The sequence below is a fragment of the Homo sapiens genome, chromosome 2 (genome assembly GCF_000001405.40).
Source record: "Homo sapiens chromosome 2, GRCh38.p14 Primary Assembly".
Taxonomy (NCBI): domain Eukaryota; kingdom Metazoa; phylum Chordata; class Mammalia; order Primates; family Hominidae; genus Homo; species Homo sapiens.
In genome coordinates this window covers 232,081,739-232,099,685 of record NC_000002.12, presented here as the reverse complement: position 1 = coordinate 232,099,685, position 17,947 = coordinate 232,081,739, and the positions used below count along the sequence as shown (strand labels likewise).

Genomic DNA, 17,947 nt, shown 5'->3' with positions numbered 1-17,947 from the left:
TACCAAATTTCAAGGGTTCATTCCTGTTTTACACAAGCTGTTCTAGAAAAACAGTAAACTCTCAGAAACTGACCAAGACATTTCATTAATTTATTATAATCTTGATTCTAAACACTGAATTAACAAAAAAATCAAAGATCCATTTTAACATGACACATAAAAATACTACACTTGGCCAGGCAGTGGCTCATGCCTGTAATCCCAGCACTTTGGGAGGCTGAGGTATGCAGATCACTTGAGGCCAGGAGTTCAGACCAGCCTGGACAACATGGCAAAACCCCGTCTGTACTAAAAATACAAAAATTATCTGGGTGTGATGGTGTACATCTGTAATCCCAGCTACTTGGGAGGCTGAGGCAGGAGAATCACTTGAACCCAAGAGGCAGAGGATACAGTAAGCCACGATGGTGTGACTACACTCTAGCCTGGGCAACACAGCTAGACTCTGTCCCAAAAAAAAAAAAATACAAAAAATACTACCCTAATATTACCTAAGTGAATCCAATCATGTATTTTTAAAATAATGACATATCAGGATTAAGTAGAATTTATATGACGAATAAAAGGATGGTTCAACATCAGAAATAGACTTAGAAGAGAGAAACCAGACGATAATCTTAATCAATGAAGAATGCGCATCATAAAGTTTAGCAAAAGGCAAAACTTAACAAAAGATTTGCCTTAATAAAATCTTAATAAAGATTTGCCTTAATAAAAGATTACAAGGGAGAATATCTTTGTGATCTAGTGACAGGGAAAAACTTAAAAACCCATAAAGTGTATGACAACTTTTACTGCATTAAAATTAAAAATGTTTGTTCTATGAATGCCACACAAAGTTAATAGACAAATGACTAAATGACAAAATGAGAGAAGATGTTTGTAAAACTGTTAGGAAAGGGATTATTAGATAGAAGATAAGAAATTCCTGTAAATCAACAAGAGAACAGTCACCCTGATGGAAAAATGGGCAAATGATATTAAAAAAGCAATTAATAGAACTTAATCTATATTACAAAAATTAGAAAGCTAGGCTGGGTGGGGTGACTCACACCTGTAATCCCAGCACTTTGGGAGGCCAAGGCAGGTGGATCACCTGAGGACAGGAGTTCGAGACCAGCTTGGCCAACATGGTGAAAACCCATCTCTACTAAAAATACAAAAATTAACCAGGCATGGTGGTGTGTGCCTGTAGTCCCAGCTACTCGGGAAGCTGAGGCAGGATAATCGTTTGAACCCAGGAGGTGGAGGTTAAAGTGAGCCAAGATGGTGTCACTGCACTCCAGCCTGGGTGACAGAGTAGACTCTGTCTCAAAAAAAAAAAAAAAAATTAGAAACCTCGATAATCCTAACTGTTGGCAGAGATGAGAAGATACAAGGAGCCTCATACATTGCAAGTAGGAGTGTACACTACAATCATTCTGGCTTAGATGGAAGCTTCAGTTAATAAAAAAAGAATTGTTCCTCCGCCTTGCTTTGTCCTCTGTGTATATTTCTTTTGTAAACTTCATAGGGAGGAATGTCTGGTCTAGCATAGGATTTGGGTCTTAGAACACTGTGGGTCCTGACCATCTATCCTACCTAGTATGACTACATTGTTCACCCAGACTAAAAGACAGGGAAGAAAACTTTTCCACTGATGACATTTCTAGGTACACCCTACGCCCAAAGAGAACCTGTTGCCTTGAAGGGAATGACTCAGTCACGGTAGGACTCATCACCTGCTGAATTAAAGAGCCATCCGATCCTGAATAACCAGCCGTGATACTCAAGTAGCATGCCATGGGCCTTGAGTGAGACTCTGAGACATGCCAGCTTAAGGTTAGACACAGCATATTCTCAGCTGTGGTGGCTATCGCGAGAGACTCCATCTGCTTGAGAAAAGCAGAGAAAAAAGAAAGGAAGACTTTGTCTTGCACCTTAGGTACCAGCTCGGCCTCAGGGGAGAAGGGTACCAAGTGGGCTCTTGGGGTTCCTGATTCTAGGCCTTGGCTCTTACATGGCATCACTTCTGGACCTGCCCTGGGCCAGAGGGGAGCCCACCACTTTGAAGGGTAAGTCCCAGGCCTAGCAACATTCATCACCACAAGTTGACTGAGGAGCCCTTGGGCCTTAAGTGAACATTGGTGGAAGCCTGGCAGTACTCCCCATGGGTCTGTAGTGGTGGCAGCCACAGGGTGAGGCTCCTCTGCCTGTGGAAAGGGGAGGGAAGGGTGAGAAGGACTGCATCCTGTGGTTTGAAAGTCAGCTCAGCAGCAATACAGGTTGTTGGGTTGTGGTTACAGTGGGCCTTGCGTGAGACCCAGTGCTGTGCTGGCTTCAGGTCTGATCCAACACAGTCCCAGTGATAATGGCCACAGGGGTACTTGGGTCAGCCCACTCCCAGCTCCAGGTGGCTCAGCACAGACAGAGAGATGTGGTTTGTTTAGGAGAAAGTAAGGGAAGAGAACAAGAGTCTCTGCCTGGTAATCCAGAGAATTCTTCCAGATCTTATCCAAGACCACCAAGGCAGAACCTCTACAAGTCTGCAAAAACCAGTGTTACTGGGCTTGTGGTAACCCCTAATGCACATACGGCTTAGATTACAATACACAAATCCTTTTGAATACCTGGAAAGCCTTCCCAAGAAGGACAGATGCAATAGGCCTAGACCACGAACACTACAATAAATACCTAACTCTTCAATGTCCAGACACCGATGAACAACCACAAGCATCAACACCATCTGGGAAAACATAACCTCACCAAACAAACTAAGGCACCAAGGACCAATCCTGAAGAAACAGAGATATGTAACCTTTCAGACAGAAAATTCAAAATAGTTGTTTTGAGGAAACTCAAAGAAATTCAAGATAATAGAAAAGGAATTCAGAATTATATCAGATAAATTACCAAAGAGATTGAAATGATTAAAAAAAATCAAACAGAAAATCTGGAGCTGAAAAATGAAACTGACATACTGAAGAACACATCAGAGTCTTTTAATAGCAAAACTGATCAAGGAGAACAAAGAATTAGTGAGGTTGAACACAGGTTATTTGAAAATACACATAAGAGACAAGAGAAAAAAGAATAAAAAAGAATGACACATGCCTACAAGATCTAGAAAACAGCCTCAAAAGGACAAACCTACGAGTTATTGGCTTTAAAGAGGAGGTAGAGAAAGACATATGGATAGAAAATTTAATCCAAGAAATAATAAGAGACAATTCCCCAAACCTAGAGAAAGACATTAATATCCAAGTACAAGAAGGTTATAGAACACCAAGCAGATTTAACTAAAAGAAAACTACCCCAAGGCGCTGGGTGCAGTGGCTCACGCTTGTAATCCCAGCACTTTGGGAGGCCGAGGTGGGCAGATCACGAGGTCAGGAGATCAAGACCATCCTGGCTAACACGGTGAAACCCTGTCTCTATTAAAAATACAAAAAATTAGCCGAGCGTGGTGGCGGGCGCCTGTAGTCCCAGCTACTCGGGAGGCCGAGGCAGGAGAATGGCATGAACCCAGGAGGCAGCGCTTCCAGTGAGCCGAGATCACGCCACTGCACTCCAGCCTGGGCGACAGAGCGAGACTCTGTCTCAAAAGAAAAAAAAAAAAGACAACTACCCCAAGGCATTTAATAATCAAACTCCTAAAGGTCAGGGATAAAGAAAGGATCCTAAAAGCAGAAAAAAAGAAAGAAAGAAAAGAAAAGAAGAAAAAGAAAAAGAAAAGAAAAGAGAGAGAAACAAACAAACAAACATACAATGGAGCTACAACACATGTGGCAGCAGACTTTCCAGTGGAAACTTTACAGTGGCATAATATGTTTAAAGTGCTAAAGAAAAAAAAAACTTTTACCATGGAATAGTATATCCAGTGAAAGTATCCTTCAAACATCAAGGAGAAATAAAGACTTTCCCAGACAAACAAAAGCTGAAGGACTTCATCAACACCAGACTTGTCCTAGAAGAAACGCTAAAGGGAGTACTTCAATTAGAAAGAACAGAACATTAATGAGCAATAAAAAATCATCTGAAGGTACAAAACTCACTGATAATAGTAGGTACACAGAAAAACACTGAAATATTATAACACTGTAACTTTGGTGTGTAAACTACTCTTACCTTAAATAGAAAGATTAAAAGATAAACCAATTAAAAATAATAACTACAACAACTATTCAAGACATAGATAATATTGTAAGATGTGAATAAAAGCAACAGAAACTTAAAAAGTGAGGGGATGAAGTTACAGTGTAGAGTTTTTATTAGTTTTCTTTTTGCTTATTTATTTATAAAAACAGTAAGCTGTTATCAGTTTCAAATAATGGGTTAAAGGATAGCATCTGTAATACTGATTGTAACCTCAAATCAAAAAACATACAACAAATACACAAAAATTAAAAAGCAAGAATTATATCATATTACCAGAGAAAAATCACTTTCACTAAAAGGAAGACAGGAAGATGGAAAGAAGAGAAGACCACAAAACAACCAAAAAACAAATAACAAAATGGCAGGAGTAAGTCCTTACTCATCAATGTTAACACTGAATGTAACTGGACTGAACTTTCCAATACAAAGACACAGAGTGGCTGAATGGATGAAAAAACAAGATGCAATGATCTGCTGCCTACCAGAAACACACTTCACCTATAAAGACACACATCAACTGAAAATAAAGGGATGGAAAAAGATATTCCAAGCCAATGGAAACCAAAAAAGGGGAGAAGTACCTATATTAATATCAGATAAAATAGATTTCAAGGCAAAAACTATAAGAAGAGAAAAAGAAGATCACTATATAATGATAAAGGGGTCAATTCAGCAAGAAGGTATAAAAATCTTAAATATATATGCACCCAACACCGGAGTGCCCAGATATATAAAGCAAATATTACTAGAGCTAAAGAGAGAGAGAGATAGACCCCAATATAATAACAGCTGGAGCTTTCTTTCTTTTCTTTCTTTTTTTTTTTTTTTTTGAGATGGAGTCTCGCTCTGTCACCCAGGCTGGAGTGCAGTGGCGCAGTCTTGGCTCCCTGCAGCCTCTGCCTCCCAGGTTCAAGCAATCCTCCCACTTCCACCTCCCCAGTAGCTGGGATTTATAGGTGCGCACCACCATGACTGGCTAATTTTTCTATTTTTAGAAGAGACGTGGTTTTGCTATGTTGGCCAGGCTGGTCTCAAACTCCTGTCCTCAAGTGATCCACCTTCCTTGGCCTCCTAAAGTGCTGGGATTACAGGCATGAGCCACCATGCCTGGCCAACAGCTGGAGATTTCAACACCCCATTTTCAGCATTTGACAGATCTCGCAGACAGAAAATCAACAAAGAAAGAGCTGGCTTAATCTGCATTATAGATCAAAATAGCCCTAATAAATATTTACAGAATACTTCATCCATTGGCTGCAGAATACACATTCTTTTCCTTAGCATATGGATCATTCTCAAGGACAGACCATATGTTAGATCACAAAACAAGCCTTAAAACACTCAAAAAAACTGAAATAGTATAAAGTATCTTCTCTGACCACAATGGAACAAAACTAGAAATCAATAACAAGAGGAATTTTGGAAACTATACAAATACATGAAAATTAAAAAACATGCTGAATGACCAGTGGGTTAACAAATTAAAAATTTCTTGAAACAAATGATAATGGAATCACAGCATATTCAAAACCTATGGGATGCAGGGAAAGCAGTGCTTACATCAAAAAAAAGAAAAAGAAGAAAAAATTCAAATAAACCACCTAATGATGCATCTTAAAGAACTAGAAAAGCAATAGCAAACCAAACCCAAAATTAGTAGAAGAAATAATAAAGGTCAGAGCAGAAGTAAATGAAATTGAAATGAAGAAAACAATCCAAAAGATCAATGAAACAAAAAGATAGTTTTCTGAAAAGTTACACAAAACTGACAAATCTTTAGCCAGACTAAGAAATAAAATCAGAGATGAAAAAGGAGACACTACAACTGATACTGCAGAAACTCAAAAGATCATTAGTGGATATTATGAGAAACTATATACCAATAAATTGGAAAATGTAGGAAATTGATAAATTCCTAGACACATACAACCTACCAAGATTGAACCATGAAGAAATGCAAAACCTGAACAGACCAGTAACAAATAACAAGATTGAAGCTGTAATAAAAAGTCTTCCTACAAAGAAAACTCAGGACCTGATGGCTTCACTATTGAATTCTACCAAACATTTAAAGAAGAATTAATACCAATCCTACTCAAACTATTCTGAAAAACAGAGGAGAAGGGAATACTTCCAAACTCATTCTACAGGGGCAATATTACCCTGATATCAAAAACAGATAAAGACATATATTTAAAAAAAACTACAGGCCAATATCACTGATGAATATTAATGCAAAAATCCTCAACAAAATACTAGCAAATAAAATTCAACAACACATTAAAAGGATCATTCATCATGACCAAGTGAGATTTATTCCAGGGATGCAAACATGGCTCAACATACGCAAACCAATCAATGTGATGCATCATATCAACAGAATGAAGGAAGAAAACTATATGATGATTTCAACTGATGCTGAAAAAGCACTTGATAAAATTCAACATCCATTCATAATAAAAACCCTTGAAAAACTGGGTACAGAAGGAACATATCTCAGCCTAACAAAAGCTGCATAGGACAGACCCACAGCTAATATCAAACTGAATGGGGAAAAACTAAGACTTTCTTCTAAGGTCTGGAACACAACAAGAATACCCACTGTCACTACTGTTATTCAACACAGTACTGGAAGTCCTAGCTAGAGCAATCAGACAAGAGAAAGAAATAAAGGGCACCCAAATTGGAAAGGAAGAAGTCAAATAATCCTTGCTTGCAGATGGTATGATCTTATATTTGGAAAACCCTAAAGACTTCACCAAAAAACTATTAGAACTGAAAATTCAGTAAACTTTTAGGATATAAAATCAACATACAAAAATCAGTAGCATTTCTATATGCTAACAGCAAACAATCTGAAAAAGAAAGCAAGAAAGTAATCCCATTTACAATAGTTATAAATAAAATTAAATAACTCAGAATTAACCAAAGAAGTAAAAGATCTATACAATGAAAACTATAAAATATTGATGAATCTCATTAAAGAGGACACAAAAATGTTTAAAGACATTTCACATTCATGGCTGGGAAGAATCAATATTGTTAAAATGTCAATACCAAAGCAATCTACAGATTCAATGCAGTCCCTAACAAAATACCAATGACACTCTTCATAGAAAAAAAAAATCCTAAAATTTATGCAGCACCACAAAGATCCAAAATAGTCAAAGCTATCTCAAGAAAAAGGAACAAAACTGGAGGAATCAGATTACCAGACTTCAAATTATAATACAGAGCTATAGTAACCAAAACGGCATGGTACTGGCATAAAAACAGATACACAGACCAGTGGAACAGAGTAGAGAACCCAGAATACATACATCCATACATACATCCATACATCCACAGTGAACTCATTTTCAACAAAGGTGCCAATAACATGCACTGGGGAAAGGACAGTCTCTTCAATAAATGGTGCTGAGAAAACTGGATATCCATATGCAGAAGAATGAAACTAGACTCCTATCTCTTCTCACATAAAAAATCAAATCAAAATGGATTAAAGACTTAAATCTAAGACATCAAACTATTAAACTACAGAAAGAAAACATTGGAGAAACTCTCCAGGACATTGGACTGGGCAAAGACTTCTTGAGCGAGGAAGACAGACAAATGGCAAAGAGGTTTACAGAAAAGTGCTCAACATCATTGATGATCAGAGAAATGCAAGTCAAAACTGCAATGAGATATCATCTCATCCTGGTTAAAATGGCTTTTATTTAAAAGATAGGCAATAACAAATGTTGGTGAGGATGTGGAGAAAAGGGAACCCTCATACACTGTTGGTGAGAATGTAAATTAGTATAATCAGTATGGAGAACAGTTTGGAAGTTCCTCAAAAAACTAGAAATAGCTACCATACCAGCAATCCCACTCCTATGTACATATCCAAAAGAAAGGAAAACAGTGTATCAAAGAGATATCTGCACTCCCATGTTTCTCGCAGCACTAACCATAATAACCAAGATTTGGAAACAACCTACGTGTCCATCAACAGACAAATGGATAAAGAAAATGTGGCAGATATACACGATGGAGTGCTATTCAGCCATTTAAAAAAAATGTGATCCTGTCATTTGCAACATTAATGGAATTGGAGGTCATTATGTTAAGTGAAGTAGTCAGGCACAGAAAGACAAACTTCATATGTTCTCACTTATCTGTGAGAGCTAAAAAACTAAAACAACTGAACTCATGGAGATAGAGAGTAGAAGGATGATTACCAGGGGCTGGGAAGGGTAGTAAGTGGGGAGAAGTGGCAATGGTTAATGGGTAAAAAAAGATAGTTACAAAGAATGAATAAGACCTACTATTTCCTAGCACAACAGCTGAACATTTTTAAAGCCATTTACGCATTTGATACCAAGAAAATTTTAATTGGTTGTCCCTAAGCTCCACATGGATGGCAGCTTTCTATGCTAACAACAAAGCTACTGCTTGTAAAGTGGTAAAAGTTCAATCTCAAAGGGGGATTGGGGAGTGGATCTCTAAAAGGGGCCCAGGTCTTTGGCCCACTCTCTCTCAGGGGCTGGGGATAATGCAGACCTGTGTAGTCGTCCTCAAAGAAACTACTGTATGAATGTCTGAGATGCTGAGATGTTTCTCTTAACGCAATGACAGGCACTTGCTACAGACAACGGGAGCAATGTGCTCTCTTACCAGAGAAACTGGTAGTTATCACAAAGATATAAATATTTCCTCAGCAAATAGGTATATGCTATAAATACACATGCAATATAGAGCATTTGCTTTGGGCAAAGAAACATAATACTAAAGCAAAAACAAACAAAAAAACACTTTTGAACACAAGCATGAACCAGGATTAATAATCCACTTGCAAGTAGAACACAAAGCAAAGAACCTTTCTAGAAGTCTTAGGAAAAGTTTGATATTCTCAAGGTTATGGTTTGTTTCAATAACAAACTTCAAAACCCTAAATAGTGCAAAAAGTACTAACATCCTAATGGTAACCAGATTTTTTTTATTATCCCAAGTAAGAGAAGATGGTTGAAATATCCTTAAAAATGCTGTGATTTTCAAAAGAGCAAATTGCAATTTTCCTAAATATCAAGAGGGCAAGAAATGAGAAACAGCCATGTGGTTTCACAAACTCTCCATTTAGAGGCTAGCAGGAAAGAGAAATCTGTACCAGATACTGAGGGAAGGATTAAGGTTGTTCCCTCAGTCAGGGCTACTAAGGAAGTAATATAAATAACAGTGGGCTAGGAAGGATGCAAAAAGAATAAGGAAAGAAACATGCATACAGCGGGCTTGTAACGTACTCAGTGATATTTACTTGTAAGAAAGAGGGAGGGGCCAGGCACAATGGCTCACACCTGTAATCCCAGCGCTTTGGGAGGCCAAAGCAGGAGGATCGCTTGAGGCCAGGAGTTCAAGACTAGCCCTGGCAACAACAGGGCTGTATTAAAAAACAACAACAACAACAACAAAAATTATCTGGGTGTGGTGGTGCACACTTTAGTCCCAGCTACTCAGGAGGCTGAGGCAGGAAGATCGCCTGAGCCCAGGAGGACAAGGCTGCAGTGAGCTATGATGACACCATTGCACTCTAGCCTGGGCAAAAAAGTGAGACCCTATCTCAAAAGGAGTGTGGGGGAAGAATTATAATAGAGGGTGAATCAAGAGGAGGTATAGCATCAGAGTTTCGCAAAACTCTGGGTTGGATGCCAGCAAAGTAAACCGTTAGCATCCAACCCAGACATCCATTCTGCTGTCACTTCCATCCATCAGTATTTCCTTGTCCTTATATTTGTACCAACCACTAATGAGAGATCAATGTGTCTTATCCCTTCACTTGGAGCCCAGAGGAAAAGAGGCTGCTGAGATCTGCCAAGCCTATCACCAGAGCTGGGTTTCCACGAAGTAGTTTTAAGCCAAATACTCAATATGCTTTAAAGTGTTCCTTTGCCTGGCTTTATCCTGTGAATATCTCTCTTCCTTGCTGATCTTGTTAATGAAGGATTTGGCTACTTAGAGTCCTGGTTATTTGCCACTCTTCTCACTGAAAATACATGACTCATAGTACTGATGTGATTACGATAATACACATTTACTTTAAGAGGAATGTCACAGTATTCGACTATTTTTAAAGAAAAGAAAGTAGAAAAATCGCAAGAATAAAATGTCAAGGAATAGCATCCAAAAGGAACTGGCTGAGCTCTAAACAGGGAAACCACTAGTTACCTAAACGTGTCCCCAAACAAAAGGAACCTGGGTACCCTGAAGGCAGTGATACCTGGTGGGGCCCATAGCAGTACCTGACACAGGAAGTAGTAGCCTCTTCAGTCAAGAAGAATTTCAAAGTTGGAAAGTCATTCTGAATGAGTACTTGGCACCAAAAAGGACACATGCTTTCAAAAAATGCTTTCTTTCACAGATCACTACCTCCTCAGCAATGGAGAAAAGCAGTCATCCTTCTCCAGTCATGTCCTGAAGATACCTTCGGCTTTCTTTACGCTGGGGGGACATATGCTCACCAGTCCCTAAACGAGTTGTCTGCTGAACATCCTCCTTTAGAAATCTTCTGGCATTTCTCCTAGCCTTTCATGGGAACTGTGCCAGAAACTTCTTCTTGATAACAAAGCTCATTATCTAGTCAGCCTGGCCAGGTCAGAGTTGGTCGGTTTCCATTAATAGTATACATAAAATTCGATTTGGCTAGAAAATATACTCCTTCTATGTAGAATTTCTTCAAAATCTCTAACTTGAAATATTCAAATTGTACTTAATATTTTCCTTAAGTCTCTTCAAGTGTGGTCAGGTAGGGTCCGTGGTCACAGCTCTCATGTGTTTACAACTGCTTTTTTTCTGCATCCAGAGGGCCCATGGCTTAGATTTCAATCAGAGAAAACAAAACTGGCTTTTTAAAAGGCTTAGAATCAAAATACTTTCTAAGGCTATTTGTTTATAAAATTTTGGGTGATCCATGCCCACCAGAAATGACAAAAAAAACTTTTTTTTTTTTTTGAGACGGAGTCTCACTCTGTCACCCAGGCTGGAGTGCAGTGGCACAATCTAGGCTCACCGCAAGCTCCACCACCCAGGTTCACGCCATTCTCCTGCCTCAGCCTCCCGAGTAGCTGGGACTACAGGTGCCCGCCACAACTCCCGGCTATTTTTTTTTTTTTTTTTTTTTTTGTATTTTTAGTAGAGACGGGCTTTCAACGTGTTAGCCAGGATGGTCTTGATCTCCTGACCTCGTGATCCGCCCACCTCGGCCTCCCAAAGTGCTGGGATTACAGGCGTGAGCCACCGCGCCCGGCCCACGCCTGGCTAATTTTTTTGCATTTTTAGTAGAGACAGGGTTTCACCATGTTAGCCAGGATGGTCTCGATCTCCTGACCTCGTGATCCGCCCGCCTCGGCCTCCCAAAGTGCTGGGATTACAGGCGTGAGCCACTGTGCCCAGCCGACAAAAATACTTCTAAAAGATATTTAAAGTAAAACTGAAAGTAAAATAAAGTGATTTTTCATATGAATTTTACATACCAGTTTAATTGTGTTCACATCATCCACAGGATTGCGCCTATCGCAAGAGATGTCAACGTTAACCAGCAACACAGCTCAAGCCTATTAGGAATGTGGCAACTGCAACTACTGCCCACACAAACCGCTGGAAGCACTTTCATCCCCTCTTTCATAACCAGCAGCTAAACCTGTCAAAGATCCCCCTTTTCTGAAAGCTGCCACAGGTCAAAAATTAGGACTATATCAATGGCATTGTGTTATTTACTCTGCAGCAGAGAGGGAATTCCAATACTTAATCAGTGTACTTAAAAAAAAAGTAAGACAATAGTCTAGTACTCACCTTTCTCAGAAACACAAACTGAGAGTTTCTTAACACCATCAACCAGCACATTTTGTGTGATGCCATGTCCATCTTCTGAGTCGCTGCCATCAAACTGAGCCTCTACAATGACATCAGGACTGTCATTATAGCTTTTCAGGGACTGTTGCGGGAGATGGTGTCCACAGAGCTCCTCGGGGATATCTGATTCATACGCAGCTTCTGTTTCTTTGTCATTGCTCTCTGGTTTAACTACCTAAAGAAAACAGAAAAATTCTGCTAAATCACTGAGAGAGGAAAAAAAAAAAAGAGCAGATTTTTCTTTTCTAAGGAAGAAACTGCATATTCAGAAGCTAACGGTATTGGACACTAATCATGTAGTTCAAAAAAGGATCTTTATTTTCCAGAAGCACAGACCACCTAATGCACATAATCAATCCAGCAAAGCCAGGCTGACACTCAGCTCTTCAGGATGCCCCAAATTAATGCCTTATCCACTTCTCATATTTCTGATCTACATTTTCATCCCCTCTCCCCAAAGGCCCTGAATACCAGAAGTAGTACCATGCTGCTTCATAAACCCTCACCATATAGGAACAATTAGTAAGTTAGGGAATGATAAAAGAACTCAACAAAGTATGCCACAGTGTTCCTAAAGGAAACCAAGGAAACCACAAGAATACAAGATGAAGTGGAAAAAAAACAAAATTAAGTGTGAACAAGAGTTTATAAAATGTTCTTATAAAAATATAAAGCTTTATTGGCCAGGCGCGGTGGCTCAAGCCTGTAATCCCAGCACTTTTGGGAGGCTGAGGCGGGCGGATCATGAGGTCAGGAGATTGAGACCATCCTGGCTAACACGGTGAAACTCTGTCTCTACTAAAAATATAAAAAAATTAGCCAGGAGTTGTGGCGGGTGCCTGTAGTCCCAGCTACTTGGGAGGCTGAGGCAGGAGAATGGTGTGAACCCAGGAGGCGGAGCTTGCAGCGAGCCGAGATGGCACCACTGCACTCCATCCAGTCTGGGTGACAGAGCGAGACTCTGTCTCAAAAAATATATATATACACACACACACACACACATATATATATATATACATATATATATATGTGTATATATATATATATACACACACACACATATATATATATATATTTAAAGGCTCAGGCCTTTAGTTTCTATTATGTATTTATTTCTGCCACTAATGGTTCCACAAAGGATTTGGTTCCCATCAACCATGGAGAAAATATCACAGGTACCAGAATTCTGACTTTGTTATACAATCTGCAGGCTGAACTTTCTCACAGTGAAAGGTCTTTCTCTGCATGTATATGTATATATACACATATACATATACATATACATATACATATACATATACACATATATATACATATATGTATATATACATATGCATATGCATATACATATACATATGTATATATGTATACATATATACGTATATGTATATACACGTATACACGTCTATACGTGTGTATATATACGTATACACGTCTATACGTGTGTATATATACGTATACACGTCTATACGTGTGTATATATACGTATATACGTATAAAGCACACACACACTGATGGACATTTACACTACAATACTAATGAAGCAAGTAGAGGAAAAAAATCCAGGCCAGGCACAGTGACTCACACCTGTAATCTCAGAGCTATGGGAGGCCAAGGCAGGAGGAGTTTAAGACCGGCCTGGGCAACATATTGAGACCTTGCCTCTAAAAAAAATTTAAAAATCAACCAGGCATAGTTGGGGGGCAGGGCGCCTGTAGTCCTAGCTACTTGGGAGGCTGAAGTGGGAAGATTACTTGAGCCTAGGAGTTAGGAGTTACAGTAAGCTATGATCACGCCACAGCACTCCAGCCTGGGCGACAAAGGGATATTCTAGCTCTAAAAAAAATAAAATAAAATAAAATAAAAAACCAATCCAGATACTAATCCATTTTATGAGTTTGTCACATACAGCACTCTGATGTCTATGGACACTATATTAAAATACACCAGGTGTTATTGAGTCACTGAAAAAAATTGTGACCCTACATGTAAATCTGCCCATCCACATTAGCAAAAAAGCAGCAGATTTTGTAGGTTCTTGGATGTTACTTGAATACTGCATCCTTTTTAATAATCTATTTCTATATGATAAATACCTATGTTCAATTTAAACATATAATTAAAACTTAAATGATCACCTGTATATACATAAATATAAAAAATGAATTTGATCACTACTTGTAAACATTCCTTTTATTCTTTCAAACAAATGTTGGAATGCCCACCTCGTGCCAGGCACCGTCATGAGTCCTACATCCTAGTGGGGTGACAAATGATGAACAATTTACTCATTCAACAAGTCATTATGGAGTCCCTTTCATGGTGCCAGAAACTGTTCTAGGTGCCAAGGGCAGAACAGTGAACACAATCAAAAGTCGACTAGTGAGAAGCGCAATTAAATATATTGAAAGAATGAGAAAGCTCGTTAAGTAAATGAGAGAATAATGGAGAGGGTGTGCCTAGTTTATCAGTAGGGTGATTAGGAAATACTGCTTAGAGGAAGCAGCATTTGAGCAGAGACCTGAATGAAGTAAGAGAGCTCTAGCAGTTTCACCATGTTTATATTTGATAGGTCTAATGTTCTAATTAAAAGTAACACAAAGATCATGCTTAGTGAAAGATCTTCACCTTATACAAGAGAGAAAAAGTTATTAAATCTTTCCTAAAGCATTTTAATACAGTAGGTTCAATTAACATAACCATTCCTAGACAATTAATATTATAATATCAACTCAGAAAACCAAAGTAAAATATTACAAAGAACGATCAGAATAAAGGTAAGAATATATCCTCAGTTTGTAAAAATTGACTCCATAAAAATATAGTAATAGAAAAACTTGTAAACAATGCTTTTTTTTTTTTGAGCAAAACTGTGCTCAAAACTTTTGAGCAAACTTTTTTAAAAACTTGGTTCCCAGTCCCTGAGTATATTTAATAAAATTTTCTTTTTTGCTTGTTTTGACTCATGTCAGATTCATACATTCATTTGTCCATTCATCTGTCAATGGGAAGTTAGAAACAGACATATCTCCCTCTCTTTAATACTACAAAAAAGTTCTACTGGCCAGGCCAGCAATCTCCAAAAAGATTCCCGCAGGGCCCTTCCTGCAAGAGCTCATGTGAGTGAAGCTACAGCTAGGGCACTGATACACAGGTTGAACATCCCTAATCTGAAAATCCAAAATGGTCTGAAATCTGAAACTTTTTGAGCATCAACATGACAATCAAAAGATATGCTCAGTGAAGCATTTCAGATTTCAGATTTTAGGATTTAGGATGCTCAACTGGTATAATGTAAATATTCCAAAATCCGAAAAACATCCCAAACCCAAAAAAAACACTTCTGGTCCCAAAAAGGACCTTATTTTGGATAAGAATTCCTTATTCTGGATAAGGAATACACAGCCTGTACAATTAAAAAACCAGCTCCCCCATCTGCACTTCTGCTTTACCACATAAGCCTTGTTTTCATAACTGACCCAAAGAAGATCATCCAAAAATAAGAAAATTTACTGACAAGTTACAGCAGAAAAAGAATCCGATATCACTCAAATCAACAAATTCATTCAATTTCCTTAAATATGCCTGGCAAATTCAGAAATATTTAGGAACATCTGCCCCTGACCATCCTCAAAGAACTAATACAACCTTGGGTACTGTCAGAGCAGCCTAAGCACAGGCAGAAGGCACAGGTGTATACCCTATGTCTAAAGCATGGTGGCTATATACAATCTCGGGTTTAATGGTTTTTCCTGTATCATCCCCATACATACTTTATCTCAGAGAGAGAAGTTCTGGGCAAGAAAGCAACTGTCATGCTGCAGTTGGTCTAGCAGGTAAAAGGTAGTCTCCTGGAAAGACATTATGGGCCTGGCGTGGTGGCTCACACCTGTAATCCCAGCACTTTGGAAGGACAATGCAGGCAGATCACTTGCAGTCAGGAGTTCAAGACCAGCCTGGCCAACATGGTGAAACCCTGTCTCTACTAAAAATACAAAAATTAGCTGGGTGTGGTGGCACACGTGTGTAATCCCAGCTACTCAGGAGGCTGAGGCAAGAGAATCACTTGAGCCCAGGGGGCAGAGGTTGCAGTGAGCTGAGATCATGCCACTGCACTCCAGCCTGGGCAACAGAGTGAGACTCTGTCTCAAAAAAAAAAAAAAAAGAAGAAGAAGACATTATGCAAAGAGCTCAGGCCTTTAGGTTCTATTTTGTATTTATTTCTGCCACTAGTGGTTCCACAAAGGATTTGGTTCCCACCAACCACGGAGAAATATCATAGGTACCAGAATTCTGACTTTGTTATACAATCTGCAGGTTGAACTTTCTCACAGTGAAAGGTCTTTCTCTGCATGTATGTATATGTGGGGGGGGGGGGGGGGGGTATAAATTGTAATCAGCGTGATTCTGCCTGCCTACTTACTTAATAATTTATGCTTTGGCTCATGCATACGAAGTTTAAGAAGAGAATGGGAAGAGAAGGCGACATGGTTTGGCTGTGCCCCCACCCAAATCTCATCTTGACTTGTAGCTCCCACAATTCCAATGTGTCATGGGAGGGACCAGGTGGGAGGTAATTGAATCATGGGGGGGTGGGTCTTTCCTGTGCTGTTCTCATGATAGTGAATAAGTCTCACATGATCTGATGGTTTTATAAAGGGGAGTTTCCCTGAACAAGTCCTCTTCCTTTGTAGGCCGCCATGTGAAATGTGCCTTTCACCTTCTGCCACGACTGGAAGGCCTCCCCAGCCACGTGGAAATGTGAATCCATTAACCTCTTTCTTTTGTAAATTGCCTAGTCCTGGTTATGTCTTTATCAACATTATGAAAATGGACTAATACAGAAGATCAGTGGAAAGCAACAACCAGAGTACAGCAAGCTTAACTGTAGAGCATATTCAAAAACTAACCTACGTCTGATTTTGTGATAATCTTCATGGTTTATACTGAAGAATTAGTGTTGTAGGGACTAAATTCACTTTTGAGTTACTAAACCAAAAAATGCTACAAGGCAGCAGTCTCCAACCTTTTCAGTGCCAGGGACTGGTTTTGTGGAAGACAATTTTTCCACAGACCAGAAGTAGGGGGCTGTTACGGGATGAAACTGCTCCATCTCAGACCATCAAGCATTAGATTCTCATAAGGAGCATGCAACCTAGATCTCTTGCATGCACAGTTCATAGTAGAGTTCATGCTCCTACGAGAATCTAATGCCCCTGCTGATCTGACAGGAGGCGGGGCTCAAGCGGTAATGCTCACTTGCCCACTGCTCACCTCCTGCTGTGTGGTCCAGTTCCTAACAGGCCACAGACCAGTACCAGTCCATGGCCCAGGGGCTGGAGACTCCTGAGGTAATAGGACTTAATAAATTAAGTCATTCAAAACTGTGCAATTAAAATATAAATTAATGTGTTACTTCTTTAAAGCATTTTATTCTATGTTATTATCCTAAAACACATAAGAAAAGAACAAAAGGTATGGGGGGAAAAGATCATTATGAGATCACAGGACTCAAAACCTGTGTACTCTCTAACCATCTCATATTGCATACTGGTTAAAAGTAAGGATGTGAGGCCGGGCACGGTGGCTCATGCTTGCAATCCCAGCACTTTGGGAGGACAAGGTGGGCGGATCATCTGAGGTCAGGAGTTCGAGACCAGCCTGGCCAGCATGGCGAAACCCTGTCTCTACCAAAAATACAAAAATTAGCCAGGCATGGTGGCATGTGCTTGTAGTCCCAGCTACTTGGGGAGGCTGAGGCAGGAGAATAACTTGAACCCGGAGGCAAAAGTTGCAGTGAGCCAAGACTGCACCACTGCACTTCAGCCTAGGCAACAGAGCAAGACTCCGTCTCAAAACAAACAAAAAAAGTAAAGGTGTGGGACTCCTTAGAGAAATGGCTAATTCAAATCTGGAGCAGGAA

At 39.4% G+C, this 17,947-nt stretch overlaps 1 protein-coding gene across 5 annotated transcripts in view; it reads right to left on the bottom strand.

The window, feature by feature from the left end:
• The window catches only part of DIS3L2 (DIS3 like 3'-5' exoribonuclease 2), a 382,638-nt gene that overhangs the window by 244,665 nt on the left and 120,026 nt on the right, over positions 1-17,947 (bottom strand). For all 5 annotated transcript variants that reach the window (NR_046477.2, NR_046476.2, NM_001257281.2 and 2 more), the window contains exon 6: positions 11,965-12,199. Coding sequence is in view for 3 of the 5 variants with exons in the window: in NM_001257281.2 (NP_001244210.1) it covers positions 11,965-12,199 (235 nt within the window). In the remaining 2 variants the exon portion in view is untranslated. The remainder of the gene's footprint in view (positions 1-11,964; positions 12,200-17,947) is intronic.